The 18084-nt window shown below is 38.7% G+C and overlaps 1 protein-coding gene across 1 annotated transcript; it reads left to right on the top strand.

Moving 5' to 3' along the window:
- The first annotated feature begins 13865 nt into the window (after positions 1–13865).
- Positions 13866–17108, top strand: OR5B12 (olfactory receptor family 5 subfamily B member 12). Its single transcript, NM_001004733.3, has 2 exons — positions 13866–14056; positions 15932–17108. Exon 2 carries the CDS (start codon positions 15951–15953, stop codon positions 16893–16895), a length of 945 nt encoding a protein of 314 aa, NP_001004733.1. The 5' UTR covers positions 13866–14056; positions 15932–15950; the 3' UTR covers positions 16896–17108.
- The last annotated feature ends 976 nt before the right edge of the window (positions 17109–18084 follow it).

Genomic DNA, 18084 nt, shown 5'->3' with positions numbered 1-18084 from the left:
TTTAATTTCGCTCTGATCTTTGTTGTTATTACCATTATTATTATTTTAGAGACAGAGTCTCTACTTTGTGGAGTGCAGTGATACAATCATGGCTCACTGCAGCTCCAAGCTCCTGGGCTCAAGTGACCCTCCTGCCTCAGCCTTCCTAGTAGCTGAGACAATAGGTGCACACCATTACACCAGGCTAATTTTTAAATTTTTTATACAGAACGGGTCTTGCTATGTTGCCCAGTCTGGTCTCAAACTCCTGGCCTCAAGTGATTCTCCTGCCTTGGCCTTCCAAAGTGCTGGGGTTATAGGTGTGAACCATTGTGTCTGACTTGATTTTTGTTATTTCCTTATTTCTACTAGCTTTGTATTTACTTTCATTTTTTTTTCTAGTTTACTAAAGTGTATACTTAGGTTGTTTATTTCATATATTTCTCTTTTCTTCATGGGTGGCATTTATCACTAAAACTTTCCTCTTATAGCGGTTTTTCATCCATCCTATATGTTTGGTATGTTGTGTGTTCATTTTTGTTTGTGTCAAGATATTTTAAAATTTCCCTTGGATTTCATGTTTGACCCATTGGTTGTTCAAGCATGTGTTCTTGATTTTTACATACTTGTCAGTTTTCTGAAATTTCTCCTATTGTTTTCTAATTACCATTGCAGTTGGAAAAGACACTTGATAAAACTGCAATCCTCTTAAATTTTTAAGACTCGTTTTTTGGCTCAATATATAATCTGTTATAGAGAATGTTCCACATATGCTGCTGTGGGATGAAATGCTCTGTAGGTCTGCAGGGATGAAATTACCTTTTAGGTCTGTTAGTTTTATTCACTCTAAACCCTAATTCAATCCAATGTTTTCTTATTGATTTTATTCCTGAATGATCTATGCATTGTTGAAAGTGAGGTATTGAAGTCCGTTGTATTATCAATTGCTGTATGTTTTTCCCTAAACACCTATTATTTGCTTCACGTATTACGGTGTTCTGATGTTGGGTGCATGTATGTTTATAATTGTAGTAGCCTCTTGATGGATTGTTCCCTTTATCATTTTATAATAACCTTCTTCATTCCTTTTTGTAGTTTTTGACTTAAAGTCTATTTTGTGTGATATAAGTATAGCTACTTCTTCTCTCTTATGGTTTCCATTTGCATGGAAAATCTTTTTTCATCCCTTCGCTCTTAATTTATATATGTCCTTAAAGCTTAAGTGAGTTTCTGTTGGCAGCATTTAGTTGGGTCTTTTTGTTTTTTATCCATTTAGTAATTCTTTGATAGAAGAACTTATTTACATTTAAAATGGTTATTAATAAGTAAGAACTTACTATTGTCATTTTGCTAATTATGTTCTGGCTGTTTTGTAGATCCCTTTATTCCTCCATTGCCATTTTTCTTTACAATTTGTTGATTTTCTGTAGTGGTATGCTTTGATTTCTTTTCATGTTTTGTATATTCATGATAGATGTTTGATTTTGATTACCATGAGGCTTACTGAAAATACTTTATAGTTATATCAGTTTATTGTTTTAATTTTATTATTATTATACTTTAAGTTTTAGGGTACATGTGCACAATGTGCAGGTTAGTTACATATGTATACATGTGCCATGCTGGTGTGCTGCACCCATTAACTCGTCATTTAGCATTAGGTATATCTCCTAATGCTATCCCTCCCCCCTCCCCCCACCCCACAACAGTCCCCAAAACAAGCAATGGGGAAATGATTCCCTATTTAATAAATGGTGCTGGGAAAACTGGCTAGCCATATGTAGAAAGCCAAAACTGGATCCCTTCCTTACACCTTATACAAAAATTAATTCAAGATGGATTCAAGACTTAAACGTTAGACCTAAAACCATAAAAACCCTAGAAGAAAACCTAGGCATTACCATTCAAGACATAGACATGGGCAAGGACTTCATGTCTAAAACACCAAAAGCAATGGCAACAAAAGCCAAAATTGATAAATGGGATCTAATTAAACTAAAGAGCTTCTGCACAGCAAAAGAAACTACCATCAGAGTGAACAGGCAACCTACAAAATGGGAGAAAATTTTCACAACCTACTCATCTGACAAAGGGCTAATATCCAGAATCTACAATGAACTCAAACAAATTTACAAGAAAAAACCAACAACCCCATCAAAAAGTGGGCAAAGGATATGAACAGACACTTCTCAAAAGAAGACATTTATGCAGCCAGATAACACGTGAAAAAATGCTCACCATCACTGGCCATCAGAGAAATGCAAATCAAAACCACAATGAGATACCATCTCACACCATTTAGAATGGCAATCATTAAAAAGTCAGGAAACAACAGGTGCTGGAGAGGATGTGGAGAAATAGGAACACTTTTACACTGTTGGTGGGACTGTAAACTAGTTCAACCATTGTGGAAGTCAGTGTGGCAATTCCTCAGGGATCTAGAACTTGAAATACCATTTGACCCAGCCATCCCATTACTGGGTATATACCCGAAGGACTATAAATCATGCTGCTATAAAGACACATGCACACGTATGTTTATTGCGGCACTATTCACAATAGCAAAGACTTGGAACCAACCCAAATGTCCAACAATGATATCAGTTTATTTTAAGCAGATAACAACTTAACTTTGATTGCATATAAAAATACTACACTTTTGGCCGGGCGCGGTGGCTCACGCCTGTAATCCCAGCACTTTGGGAGGCCGAGGCGGGTGGATCATGAGGTCAGGAGATCGAGACCATCCTGGCTAACAAGGTGAAACCCCGTCTCTACTAAAAATACAAAAAATTAGCCGGGCGCGGTGGCGGGCGCCTGTAGTCCCAGCTACTCGGGAGGCTGAGGCAGGAGAATGGCGTGAACCCGGGAAGCGGAGCTTGCAGTGAGCCGAGATTGCGCCACTGCAGTCCGCAGTCCGGCCTGGGTGACAGAGCGAGACTCCGTCTCAAAAAAAAAAAAAAAAAAAAAAAAAAATACTACACTTTTATCCCCCCCCCTCCACATTTTAGGTTTATGTCATAATTTATTTCTTTTTATATTGTGTATCTTTTTATAAATTATCGTAGCTATAGTTATTGATATAGTTTTGTGTCTTAACTTTTATACTAGAGATATAATTGATGTCCACATCATCATTACAATATGATGTTGTACTTACTTTTACCATGAGTTTTTACTTTCATATGCTTTTATGCTACTAATTAGGATCCTTTTATTTCAGCTTGAAGAACTCCCTTTATCATTTTATGTAAGACAGGTCTAGTATTTATGAACTCCCTTAATTTTTGTTTGTTTGGGAAAGTTATCTCCTTCATTTCTAAAGGACAACTTTGCCAGGCAGAATATTCTTCATTGGCAGGTTTTTGTTCTTTCACTACTTTGAATATATTATCTGCTCTCTCCTAGCCTGCAGTTTATTCTGATAAATACACTGATAGCTTTTGGGGGGGTTCCCTTCCATGTGAGTATATATATTTTTTTCTTTGCTGCTTTCAAAGTTCTCTTTTCTTTATTTTTTGACTATTTGCTTATAGTATGTCTTCTTGTGGTTTTCTTTGGGTTGAATCTAATTGAAGACCATTGGCTTTTCTATGCTTGGATATTTATATCTTTCCCTAGATTTGATAAGTTTTCTGCCATTTTAACTTTAGGTTTCTGTTCCCTTTCCCTTTCTTCTTATTCATTAAGGTTTTTAATGCTAAAGTTAACTATCTTGATGCTGTCTCATAAATTTCATAGGCTTGTGTATTTATTTATTTATTTGTTTTCCATAAGTTATAGGGGTACAGGTGGCATTTGGTTACCATGAGTAAGTTCTTTAGTGGTGATTTGTGAGATTTTGGTGCACCCATCAACGAGCAGTATACGCTGCACCGTATTTTTAGCCTTTTATCCCTTGCTTCTCTCCCACTCTTCCCCACAAGTCCCCAAAGTTGATTGTATCATTCTTTTTTTTTTCATCTTAATGCAAATGTTTAATTTCTGTTTTATTTACTTTTGGTTTACATTTTCATATATATTTATAGTTTAAATAGGTGCAATCACATTACACTGTACTTTTTTTAGTTAACATCATACGGTAAACATTTGAAGCATTCTTGCATGTTTCTCCCTAGTCTTTATAATTACTGTTTTCCTAGAGTCGTGATGGTGCATCAAGTTGACAGATCATACTTAATCAACCCCCTCTTACTGGGTGTTTATATTACTACCACTGCTTAGGCAGTGAAGCCTGTAAAAGAGGTGCTTTTCATCCATCTTCATAAATGTGGCTATGGAGTGTAGCAGCTCGAGAGCCTGCAAGGGATGTTGTGGATTCTGGTTCCCACATCAAGGAGATGCAAGCTGGCCTTCATTATAAGGGCTGCATGACTGAGGTTGGGTACTACAACCCTCGAGTCTTCCTCTCTGTTCTCTCTTTTAGGTCCTTCTCCATGAAAAAACTACAAAGCAAATCAAATCCACTGTGCATAGGATGTAAAACCTATGTTTTCCAGAAGAAATCTAATGTGTTTGAATGAAAAATTCTCTAGAGCATCAATTTGATTTAACAAAATGTATTAAGGGGCTGCTATATGGTAAAATTGCCGTGGTTAACCTCAAAAGCTGTGACTCAGAGAGACCTGGAGTTATATTTCTGCTCTGTTCTATAATGATTGAATAGCCACAGCAAGTTATTTCATCTTTCTCAGACACAGTTTCCTCAGTTGAAAAAATGAGAAGCCCATGATTTAATACAAGTAAAATATTTAGCATGTCTATGGCACACAGTTAGTGTAGAATAAAGCATAGCTATTATTATTATTGTTGTCTTTATTATGTGTCTTCCAGGCTAAGCACCTTAGGCAAGTTATATTACTCACAGAAGCCTCTATTTCCATATCTATAAAACGGAACTCATACTAGTATCTACCTTTTTTTTTTAATATATACTTTAAGTTTTAGGGTACATGTGCACAATGTACAGGTTTGTTACATATGTATACATGTGCCATGTTGGTGTGCTGCACCCATTAACTCGTCATTTAACATTAGGTAAATCTCCTAATGCTATCCCTCCCCACTCCCCCCACCCCACAACAGGCCCCGGTGTGTGATGTTCCCCTGACTGTGTCCAAGCATTCTTATTGTTCAATTCCCACCTATGAGTGAGAACATGCAGTGTTTGGTTTTTTGTCCTTGTGATCGTTTGCTGAGAATGATGGTTTCCAGCTTCATCCATGTCCCTACAAAGGACATGAACTCATCATTTTTTATGGCTGCATAGTATTCCGTGGTGTATATGTGCCACATTTTCTTAATCCAATCTATCATTGTTGGACATTTGGGTTGGTTCCAAGTCTTTGCTATTGTGAATAGTGCCACAATAAACATACGTATGCATGTGTCTTTATAGCAGCATGTTTTATAAGCCTTTGGGTATATACCCAGTAATGGGATGGCTTCTTACACCTTTATGTGCTCATAGCTTAGCTCCCATATATCAGTGAGAACATACAATGTTTGGTTTTCCATTCCTGAGTTACTTCACTTAGAATAATAGTCTCCAATCTCATCCAAGTCTCTGCAAATGCTTTTCATGCATTCCTTTTTATGGTTTGGTAGTATTCCATTGCATATATATATGTATATACTACAGTTTCTTTTTCTTTTTTTTTCAGAGGGTATTCCACTCTTGTTGCCCAGGCTGGAGTGTAATGGTGCAATATCAGTTCACTGCAACCTCTGCCTCCCAGCTTTAAGTGATTCTCTGGCCTCAGCCTCCTGAGTAGCTGGGATTACAGGCAGCACATCTGGCTAATTTTTGCATTTTTAGTAAAGATGGGGTTTCACCATGTTGGCCAGGCTTGTTTTGAACTCCTGACCTTAGGTGATCCTCCCTTCTCAGCCTCCCAAAGTGCTGGGATTATACTACAGTTACTTCATCCACTTGTTGATTGGTGTACAGAAGGGGTCTTGCTATGTTGCCCAATCTGGTCTCAAACTCAGTCACATTTGGGTTGGTTTCACAATTTTGCAATTGTGAATTGTGCTGTAATAAACGTGCGTGTGCAAGTATCTTTTTTGAATGATGACTCCTTTTCCTCTGGGTAGATACCCAGTAGTGGGATTGCTAAATCAAATGGTAATTCTACTTTTAGTTCTTTAAGGAATCTCCACACAGTTTTCCATAGTGGCTGTACTAGTTTACATTCACACCAGCAGTGTAGAAGTGTTCCCTGATCACCAAACCACATCCACATTAACACCTACTGTTTCTTTATTTTTGATTATTGCCATTCTCGCAGGAGTAAGGTGGAGTCGCATTGTGGTTTTGATTTGCATTTCTCTGATTATTATTGATGTTGAGCATGTTTTCATCTGTTGGCCATTTGTATATCTATTTTTGAGAATTGTCTATTTACTTCCTTAGCCCGCTTTTTCATGGGATTGTTTGTTTTTTTCTTACTGATTTGTTTGAATTTGTTGTAGATTCTAGATGTTAGTCGTTTGTCAGATGTATAGATTGTGAAGATTTTCTCCCGCTCTGTGGGTTGTCTGTTTACTCTGCTTACTATTCCTTTTGCCAGGCAAAAGCTCTTTAATTAGTTCCCAGCTATTTATCTTTGTTTTTACTGCATTCGCTTTTGGGTTCTTGGCCATGAAATCCTTGCCTAAGCCAATGTCCAGGAGGGTTTTTCCAATGTTATCTTCTAGAATTTTTATAGTTTCAGGTCTTAGATTTAAATTCTTAATCCATCTTGGGCTGATTTTTGTATAAGGTGGTCAATGTGCTTATTTTTATGCCAGTACCATGCTGTTTTGGTGACTATGGTCTTACAGTATAGTTTGAAATCAGGTAATGTGATGTCTCCAGATTTGTTCTTTTTGCTTAGTCTTGCTTTGGTTATGCAGGCTCTTTTTTGGTTCCATATGAATTTTAGAATTGCTTTTCCTAATTCTGTGAAGAATGGTGGTGGTATTTTATTGGAAATTGCATTGATTTTAGATTGCTTTTGGCAGTATGATCATTTTCACAATATGATTCTTCCTATCCATGAGTGTGGGATGTGTTTTCATTTGTTTGTGTTGTCTATAATTTCCTTCGGCAGTGATTTGTAGTTTTCCTTGTAGAGGTCTTTCACCTCCTTGGTTAGGTATATTCCTAAGTAAAAAGTTTCAGGTATTAGGCTTAAGTCTTTAATCCATCTTGAGTTGAATTTTGTATAAGGTGAGAGATGAGGATCCAGTTTCATTCTCATACATGTGGCTAGCCAGTTATCCCAACACCACTTGTTGAAAAGAGTGTCCTTTCCCCACTTTATGTTTTTGTTTGCTTTGTTGAAAATTAGTTGGCTGTAAGTATTTGGGTTTATTTCTGGGTTCTCTATTCTGTTCCATTGGTCTATGTGCCTGTTTTTATACCAGTACCATGCTGTTTTTTGACTATGGCCTTATAGTATAGTTTGAAATCAGGTATGCCTCCAGATTTGTTCTTTTTGCTTAGTCTTGCTTTGGTTATGCAGGCACTGTTTTGGATCCATATGAATTTTAGAATTTTTTTTTTCTAATTCTGTGAAGAATGATGGTGGTATTTTTATGGGATTGCATTGAATTTGTAGATTTTTTTGGCAGAATGGTCATTTTCACAATATTGATTCTTTTGGTGTCCATTTGCATGAAATGCCTTTTTCCACCCCTTTACTTTAAGTTTATGTGAGTTATGTAAGTTTATGTGAGTCCTTATGTGTTAGCTTGGTCTCCTGAAGGCAGCAGATAGTTGATCAGGGAGTTCTTATCCATTCTGTGGTTCTGTTCAATGTTAGTATTGAAATGTGAGGTATCATTGCATTAATCGTGCTCTTTGTTGCCTGTGTGCTTTGTTTTTTGTTTTTGCTTTTTCACTTGTATTTTTGTTTTATAGGTTCTGTGTGATTTATGCTATTTTCATGTGTTTCCAGGATTTGTTTCAAGATTTAGATCTCCTTTTGGCGGTTCTTTTAGTGGTGGTTTGGTAATAGTGAATTCTCTCATCATTTGTTTGAAAAAGACTGTATCTTTCCTTCATATATGATGCTTAGTTTCACTGGATACAAAATTCTTGGCTGATAATTGTGTTTGAGGAGGCTGAAGACAGGGCCCCAATCCCTTCTAGCTTGTAGGGTTTCTGCTGAGAAATTTGCTGTTAATCTGATGGGTTTTCCTTTATACGTTACCTGATGTTTCTGTCTCACAGCTCTTCAGATTCTTTCCTTCATCTTAACTTTGGATAACCTGATGACAATGTACCTAGCTGATGATCTTTTTGAGATGAATTTCCCAGGTGTTCTCTGTGTTTCTTGTATTTGGATGTCTAGGTCTCTAGCAAGGCCAGGGAATTTTTCCTCAATTATTCCCCCAAATATGTTTTCCAAGCTTTTAGAATTCTCTTCCTCCTAATGAACACCAATTATTCTTATGTTTGGTCGTTTAACATAATCTCAGACTTCTTGGATGCTTTATTTATATTTTCTCACTCTTTTTTTTTTGTCTTTGTTGGATTGGGTTAATTCAAAGACCTTGTCTTTGAGCTCTGGATCTTTCTTCTACTTGTTCAATTCTATTGCTGAGACTTTCCAGAGCATTTCACATTTCTAAAAAATGTATCCAATGTTTCCTGAAATTTGATTGTTTTTTCTTTAAGCTATCTACTTCCTTGTGTATTTCTCCCTTCACTTCTTGTATCGTTTTTTGGATTTCCTTGCATTGGGCTTCGCCTTTCTCTGGTGCCTCCTTGATTACCTTAATAACTAACCTCCTGAATTTTTTTTCAGGTAATCAAGGATTTCTTCTTCATTTGAATCTATTATTGGTGAATTAGTGTGATTTTTTGGGAGTATTTTGTTTGGATTTTTGGAGCATATTATCAGGGCTGGTTTCCTGGTTCCTTCTCATTTGGGTAGTTTCTGTCAGAGGGAAGGTCTAGGGCTCAAGGCTGTTGTTCAGATTCTTTTGTCCCATGGGTTGTTCCCTTGATATAGTATTCTCCCTCTTTTCCTATGGATGTGGTTTCCTGTGAGCTGAGCTGCTGTGATTGTTGTCTTTCTTCTAGGTCTAGCCAACCAGTTAGTCTACCTGGCTCTGGGCTGCTACTGGGGGTTGTCTGCACAGGGTCCTGTGATGTGAACCATCTATGGATCTCTCAGCCAAGGATACCAGCACCTTCCAGTGCAAGTAGCTGGGGGCTGGGGTGGGGGTGGCGGGGCGGTGAAATGGACTCTGTGAGGATTCTTAGCTTTAGTAGTTTAATGCTCTATTTTTGTGCTTTTTGGCCTTCTGCCAGGAGGTGACACTTTCCAGAGAGCATCAGTTGTGGTAGTATGGAGAAGAACTAGTGGTAGGTGGGCCCCTAGAACTCCCAAGATTATATGCCCTTCAGCTACCACAGTGGGTAGGGAAAAACCATCAGGTGGGGCAGGGCTAGGGGTATCTGAGCTCAGACTCTCCTTGGGCGGGTCTTGCTGTGGCTTCTGTAGGGGATGGGGGTGAGATATCTCAGCTTATTGGAATTGTGTACCTAGGAGGATTATGGCAGCCTTTGCTGAGTCATGCAAGTTGTTAGGGAAGTCAGGGAAAGCCGGCAGTCACAGGCCTCACCCAGCTCCCACACAAACTGAAAGACCAGTCTCACTCCCACCATGCCCCACCCCAGCAGCCCTGAGTCTATTTTTAGGTGGTGGGGGAAACGGGCTTGAAAACTCGCCCCAGGCTACCTGCCTCCCATCTTCGAAAGAAAGGTGTTTGGTTGTTCCCCTGCCTGTGGAATCTGCACACCAGATTTGCGCCCTCCCCAAAGTTCTGGCCAGGAGGCTTCTTGCCCTGTTCAAATTGTTACAGAGCTCAGCTAAAGATTTCCTTCTCCCTGTGTAGTTTTACCCCCTGCTCTTCTGGCCACCCTTCCAAGGATCCCTGTGGTGTCAAGCAGGAATGGGCTGTTTGGGGGCCTAGCGAGCTCCTAGGACTTTTCTGATCCTTCTTTTACCCCTGTATTTCACTCAGCTCTCTAAATTGACTCAGCTCCAGGTAAGGTCAGAACTTTCTCCCACAAACAGACCTTCAATTTCTCTAGTGGGGGGTGTGTGTTCGGGACAGGAGGTCTCCCTTTCCCACTTCTGCAGTTGGGGCAGTCACGGTGTTTGGAGTGTGTCCCAGGTCCTGCTGGAGCAGTCCACTTCTTTCAGAGGGTCTGTGGGTACTCTCGAGATTGATGGTTTGTTCTTAAAGTTGATCTGGAGCTTAAATTCAGAATGTGAGCCTCCACACACTGCTCTGTCCAGAATTATAATCTAGTCCTGCCTCCCCTCTGCCATGATGATCTCCATAGGCTTTCTTCATTTCTTTTTATCCTTTTTACTTTTTTCTTCTCTGATTTTATTTTTTCAAATAATCTATCTTCAAGTTTACAAATTCTTTCTTCTGTTTGATCAATTCTGCTGATGACCTGCATTTGGTATTTTATGCATTGTATTCTTCCACTCCAGGCTTTATGGAGTTTTTAAATTCTTAATCTCTTTGTTAAACTTCTTGTTTTGCTCATATATTGTTTTACTGGTTTCAATTTGTTGTCTCTCTGTGTTCTCTTTTAGTTTGCTGAGCCTCCTTAAGACAACTATTTTGAATTCTTTGTCAGGCAGTTTGTAGATCTCCATTTCTTTGGGGCTTGTTACTGGAAATTATTATTACTACTATTATTTGAGACAAGGTTTTGCTCTGTCCCCAAGGCTGGAGTGCAGTGACACAATCATGGCTCACTGCAGTCTCAAACTCCTGGGCTCAAGTGATTTTCCTGCCTTAGGCTCCCTGGTATCTGGGACTACAGATATATGCCACTATGCCCACCTAATTTCTTTATCTTTAGTAGAGACAGGGTCTTGCTCTGTTGCCCAGGCTGGTCTTCACCTCCTGAACTCAAACATTTCTCCTGCCTTGGCCTCCCAAAGGGCTGGGATTACAGGCAAGAGCCACTATGCCTGGCTGATATTATTCTTTTGGTGGTAACATATTTCCTTGTTTTTTCATATATCCTGTTATCCTTCATTGATGTCTGCACATTTGGTAGAACAGTCACCTCTTCCTGACTTTATGTGCTGGTTTCACTGGGAAAAGGCTTTCCCTTAAGGGAGAGTGCTATGGCACTGACTGGGAGAGATTTGGCGGTTTGGGCTCTGGCAAGGGTGCAGTGGCATAGTCTTTGTGCTGCTCTGTCAACTTAGGTTGGCATTGGTGAAGATTGCAGGGATTTTAGAAGCCAAGACTGTGGGTATCAATAGCAGCAGTAAGAGCTAATGGGGTCTTCAGTGGTGAAGGCCACTGAGGTTTTCTCAATCTCTTTTTATTCCACAGGGAAATCATGGCTGAGGAGATCACTTTTGGCACAGTGTCCAGTGGGTACACCTGTAGTTGTGGTGACACTGATATCAGATGCATGGTGCTTGTGCAACAGTCCTGGAGTCAAGATCTGAAGCATGGACATGCACAGAGGCATAATCACTCTGGAGTCTGAAGTGTCGATGACATGAATGCCTTGGGTGTAGATGCCCCACTGCTGCATTGATAACTGTGTGTGGGGCACAGATGCTTGTAAAGCAGCTGAGAAGCTGGGGGCCAAAGTCCAGGCATGTGCAGAGATACAGTGGCTCTAGGGTCCAGAGTGTAGGTTTGCTCAGAGCTACCGTGACTCTGGGCTCTGGGCCTCAAGCTGCTCAATATTGTAGTGGAGTTGGTGCATGAAGTGAGTATGCACACACAGCAACTGGGGCTCTAAGGTGTGGGGTGTGGCTAACCTATAACAGTAGTGGCTCCAGTGTTTGAGGCATGTGCAAAATTGGAAGGAATGGTGGCTTTGGCCATGGGGCAACAAAGCAGTTGCCCCTTCTGGGAGCATTGGTCCAGCAGTGTTTCCTTTTCTGGGGGCTCCACGGTGGGGATGGCTGTTGATTATCTTGGTAGTGAAAGATGGCAGTGTTCTCTGTAGAGCAGGTTGCTGGGAACAATGGTGGCATTCATAACATGGTTGATAATGCTAGAACTTGCTTTTCTTTGTTCCTAGACATCTCTAGACATGTCGGTTAATACATATCTCCAACAGTCTTTTCTATGTGGTTATTCCCCTCCCACATTTTTTATTTCACTATGTTGCTACAGGTTTTTAAATGGTCCCTTGAGTCCTACTAAGGCTATTATCATTCATGGATAATTATCGGTTGATTTTTTGTGTGAGGGGAAGAGGATTGTATCTCCTATTCTGCCATCTTGTTTATGTGTCACTCTGTTTGTTTTGTTTGTCAAGGTTTCTTTGGTGGAGGATGCTGAAATAGAAATTGACAAGGAAGAGGTCTAGTTATGAAGAAAACATACTGGCTTCTTTTAGATTTTGTTAACTGTTTTGAAACTTGGGTCCTTTACTACATACATTTCATTTTGTTTGGAATGATCTTTTCCATACTAGTTCTTTGTCATTTTTAAACTTGGCTGAAATCTTTTTTTTTTTTTTGAGACGGAGTCTCGCTCTATCCCCCTGTCCCCCAGGCTGGAGTGCAGTGGTGCGATCTCGGATCGCTGCAAGCTCCGTCTCCCGGGTTCACGCCATTCTCCTGCCTCAGCCTCCCGAGTAGCTGGGACTACAGGCGCCCGCTACCACGCCCGGCTATTTTTTTGTATTTTTTAGTATAGACGGGGTTTCACCGTGTTAGCCAGGATGGTCTTGATCTCCTGACCTCGTGATCCGCCTGCCTCGGCCTCCCAAAGTGCTGGGATAACAGGCTTGAGCCACCGCGCCTGGCCAAACTTGGCTGAAATCTTAATTTTCCAGAGAAAACATTCTGACCAAACAATATAAAGTAGACTTATTTTTTATCTCATTTTTATGTATAGTTACATGCTTATTCCACACATAATTATATATATGTACATATGTATTTATATGTGTAAATATGCATATTTACGCATGTTTCTTACGGGGTTTATTTGCTTACTGTCTATCTTCTCCATTAGATTTAAACACCATGGGCACAAGAATGATGTTTATTTTGAATGGGTCTATGTTCTCAGCTCTCATTACTATGGCTAAAATCCATTTGCAATCAATAAACAGTTGATGAATTAATATTTCTTCTCAATGGTTCAAACATTTAAGGTGAATTAAAAGAAGTACTAATCCCTGAAGTCCACATCCCTTATTTAATGATAAAATGTATGTCTCTGTCTCTTAGTATTTATGTCAAATAACAGTCTTGAAGGACATGCTGTGGCTTAATTTGTGCATTACCCAAGAGAATAACTGAAAGTAACATAAATACACTCATGATCTCCCACAACAAGCAGAGCTGAATCCCCATAGATACTTTAATCACCTGATTTCCAGTTATGTGAGATAAAGTGTTTTGTAGACCTCATAGAGTATGTGTCGCCTGAGAGCTCCATGACCATACAATTACCTCCTGGTTCCCACTTTTCAACTGATCAAGTACCTATATGATTCCATTTGGCTTCATATTAGAGGGAGCAGCCCCAGAACCAGAGTCACTTTGACCATTTATTTATTCGTCTGATTGTCAATAGTCATCTAGTAGTAACTATGGCCTTCTCCAAAACTGATACATAGCAAAGAGCCTACAACAATGTTTAGGAAAAAAACCAGTAATTATTATATTAATTGAGGTTATGATTATCACCTCTTACCAAGTATAAGAAATTGTAGGTTTCCTATTCTTTTCTTACCATAGCAGCAGTTTTCAGGCTGGATGTTGTTAGGGCTATCTTTTAATATTTTCTTTTTTATAGATTCAGCTATTGATATTCAAATGGGTTAAGAGACTTATCTACAAAGAAGGGGCAGTAAATACAGGAGTAGAGCTCTTGCTAGCTGATTCCAAAGCCAATAGCATTTTTCTTTCAATTTCCCCCTGCCTCTAAAGAACTTTAAGCCTTTTGGCCAAACGCTAAAGAACAGTCTCCAAAAAGTTGTTTTCCTTCTTTAAAGGACTTAATTTCTGATGTGACATTCACTTATATATGAAAGTGCTGGACCTGAATTTTGTATTTCTCAGGGAGAAAGGTAAGTCTCTGGATCAAATCTATTGTCTGCACAAAGTTACAGGGGCAGAGGTAACTAGAAAAATGCATCGAGGTACCCCTTTCTCCTTTGGTTTAATCAGGGATTTGGCTCTAATATTTTGACTATTTCTTTTATCTGTTTCACACATCCAGAGGCTATATATGTTGAGTATTCCTCATCTAAAATATTTGGGAACAGAAGTGTTTTGGATTTTGGATTTTTTAGAATTTTTGAATATTTGCATGTTTATGAGATATATTGGGGATGAAACCCAAATTTAAACACAAAATTCATTTATGTTTTATATACACGTTATATCCATAGCCTAAGTAATTTTACATAATATTTTAAATAATTTTTGCACATGAAACAAAGTATGTGCTACATACTTATGTGTGGAATTTTCCATTTGTAGCATCATGTTGGTTCTCAAATAGTTTTGGATTTGGAAGCATTTTAGACTTTGGATTTTTGGATTAGGGATTCCCAACTTGTGTAGAATGTGTTTACTTATCATGTGACATAAAGAAAAAGCACAAGAAGGCCTCGAGTCCCTGCTTTACAAAGAATAAGATTGCATTACTTTGAGCAAGTTAAACTATTTATTTCTCAGTTTTCTTTTTCAGGAAATATGATAATATTAGTTCTCCTAATTCTACAATTGTTGAGATAGTCAAATGGAATATCAACATAAAATTTTACCATAATCTGGAAGCCCATACTAATATTTTTTTAAAAAGAGAGACAGAAGGAATGGTGATTAATAAATGAGGAAGAAATCAGGCTTACAAGCCAGTTATAAAATGCACTGAAATAGAGATGTGCAAAATTACATAAGGCACAACTAACTATTGGAATGAGGAGACCTAATCTCATGTGCTAATTCTGTCACTAAAAACATCTGGTCATTGGACACACAATTTATAAACTATATTGTGGACCGACTGATGGTCTACAGTGTAGATGTGATTAACATCTATCACACAGTTCTGAGCAAATAAGAAAACACTTCTGTCTCCTTGGGAATGGAGAATAAGAATATTCTGAACTTAAACATAATATTTATCAGTTTAGATATCTATCTGGTCAGGAAATGTATCTCTTGCATTAATGTAAACCTGGCAATTAGCATGAAACATGGTGCTCCATTCGAAATTAGAGCTTGTAGAGAGAATAAAGAAATGAACACATCCAGAGATTTATGTTGATTGGTCAATTGGTTGGTATTACTGAAGAGTCATGTTCCTTTTTAACTTTTTGAAGATTTTTTTAAGGGTTGGAAGTAGTTATAAACATTTGTGGATCCAGTTATTATCATTTAACTGAGATCCAGAAATGTAGGTTATTTGCATGAAGCCAAGAAAACTGGTAAGTATATTTGATTCCTAATTTCATGCTATTCCATTCTTCACATTGACTTACAATGATAGATTTAATTACTCCATCAGGCAGTCAGTCAATTAAATAAATTACTGTCTTGTGCCCAGTTTAGACTGAATGTAAAAGATTTAAAGGAATTTTTCTTTGTGATAAAGAGTTAAGGCTTTAATTCAAAGTGACTTGGTTTTATATTTCACCTGTTCCAATTAATTAGTCTGATGATCTTGTATGAATCTTCCTTTTCTGTACCTTAGTTCGGTAATCTATGAAATTAGGAGTTCGGGATGAATTATCTCCAAAATCATTTTATTAAGAATGCTCTATGAATTATTGTAATTTAAAGTTGCATTTTGCGGTCATGGGCATGTTTTAGATCCGGGACTCCTGGAAACAAGTAATTACAATACTGGAATAAAGCAAAAAAATGGCATGCTGATTGATCTCAGTAGTCCTCCCTCCATTTATCATTCTGATTCTGCCTTTTCATTTCTACAGGGCAGCTACATAATTCCCAATGGAGAACAACACAGAGGTGACTGAATTCATCCTTGTGGGGTTAACTGATGACCCAGAACTGCAGATCCCACTCTTCATAGTCTTCCTTTTCATCTACCTCATCACTCTGGTTGGGAACCTGGGGATGATTGAATTGATTCTACTGGACTCCTGTCTCCACACCCCCATGTACTTCTTCCTCAGTAACCTCTCCCTGGTGGACTTTGGTTATTCCTCAGCTGTCACTCCCAAGGTGATGGTGGGGTTTCTCACAGGAGACAAATTCATATTATATAATGCTTGTGCCACACAATTCTTCTTCTTTGTAGCCTTTATCACTGCAGAAAGTTTCCTCCTGGCATCAATGGCCTATGACCGCTATGCAGCATTGTGTAAACCCCTGCATTACACCACCACCATGACAACAAATGTATGTGCTTGCCTGGCCATAGGCTCCTACATCTGTGGTTTCCTGAATGCATCCATTCATACTGGGAACACTTTCAGGCTCTCCTTCTGTAGATCCAATGTAGTTGAACACTTTTTCTGTGATGCTCCTCCTCTCTTGACTCTCTCATGTTCAGACAACTACATCAGTGAGATGGTTATTTTTTTTGTGGTGGGATTCAATGACCTCTTTTCTATCCTGGTAATCTTGATCTCCTACTTATTTATATTTATCACCATCATGAAGATGCGCTCACCTGAAGGACGCCAGAAGGCCTTTTCTACTTGTGCTTCCCACCTTACTGCAGTTTCCATCTTTTATGGGACAGGAATCTTTATGTACTTACGACCTAACTCCAGCCATTTCATGGGCACAGACAAAATGGCATCTGTGTTCTATGCCATAGTCATTCCCATGTTGAATCCACTGGTCTACAGCCTGAGGAACAAAGAGGTTAAGAGTGCCTTTAAAAAGACTGTAGGGAAGGCAAAGGCCTCTATAGGATTCATATTTTAATTATAAAGAATTCACAATAAGATAATTTTTTCCACCTCATATTAATCTTTGTCTACCAAGCCCAATATTTGGGCTTCCTCATGGACAGTTTCTATTGACTGTTTTCTTAAACATATGAATTGGCCATACTTTCTTCATTCTTTAAGTGACACTTTTTTTGTTGTTAAAATCTGGACATTTTAAATAATAAAAAATAGCATATTCTAAAAATCAGATCTCTCCTCCCATCTAGGCTTTGTTTTTGTTGGTGGTACTTTTGTTTGTTTAGTGATTTTCCTGAGTTACTTATGTTAATTCTGCATTTCTTGTTGTGTGTGGCCACTGAAATTTCTACTCAGTTAGGTTAGTGGTCAACTAACAATTGGGTAAAGTTTTTTAAGTGCTTTAAATTGCTAATTCTCTGAAGCCTTATGCATGGGCTTTGCATGTGTGTGTTGGAGCACGTTTTCAGCGCTCCAGCAGTTTAAATTCTGCCTTTAATCTTCACGTCCTCTGTGCAGAGCCTCAAGTTCAGCCACAAATGAAACATTAGGTCCTCTCAGGTCTTTCCTGTGCATACATAAGGCCTTGCCCATATGCATGATTTTTGTAATCCCCAGGAATGTATGGGAGCTTTTCAAAGCCCTCTATGGATTTCTAAAGCCGTCATCAATTTTTTTTAAGAGTTTGGTTAGATTATTGTATGCTCCAACTGATATTTACATTTTCAGGCAATTGCAATGTTAAACAATTGCTGTTCAACGCTTTGACAAACACTCTAGGAATAAAACTTTTTCACTGAGTGAACTGAGTCTGGTGAAATAGGGACAAAATTGTGAATGGAGTTTTCCTAGGAAGCTGCCAAATAGGTGAAACAGTGACAATTCCCTGGGAAGCAGGCCCATTAGCAATCTCCAACACATTTTGTTCACTTCAGTGGTTGTTAGGCCAATGTTTTTTTCAGCTACCATAGTTCCATGTGTGCTGGTTTTCAAGGTTACCACAGAGCTGATGGATAAAGCAAGCTAACATGCCACAAAACTCACCGTTGATACTGAGATTCAGTCATTGTTTTTGAATGAATACTCCTTGAATTGTTGCATGTCCTTGGTTAGTTTCTAGAGTTTCAAACATTTTTATTATACACAGTTTTGCCTGTGCTATAATTGCTTTTATGGAAGAGCAGATTTTTGGAGGTCCTTGCTTTGCC

This window comes from Homo sapiens, chromosome 11, assembly GCF_000001405.40.
Source record: "Homo sapiens chromosome 11, GRCh38.p14 Primary Assembly".
Lineage (NCBI taxonomy): Eukaryota > Metazoa > Chordata > Mammalia > Primates > Hominidae > Homo > Homo sapiens.
This window is presented reverse-complemented; position numbering and strand designations above follow the sequence as displayed.

Coding starts and splice junctions, on each gene's coding strand:
- OR5B12 (NM_001004733.3), top strand. CDS start 15,951: ATGGAGAACAACACAGAGGTGACTGAATTCATCCTTGTGGGGTTAACT.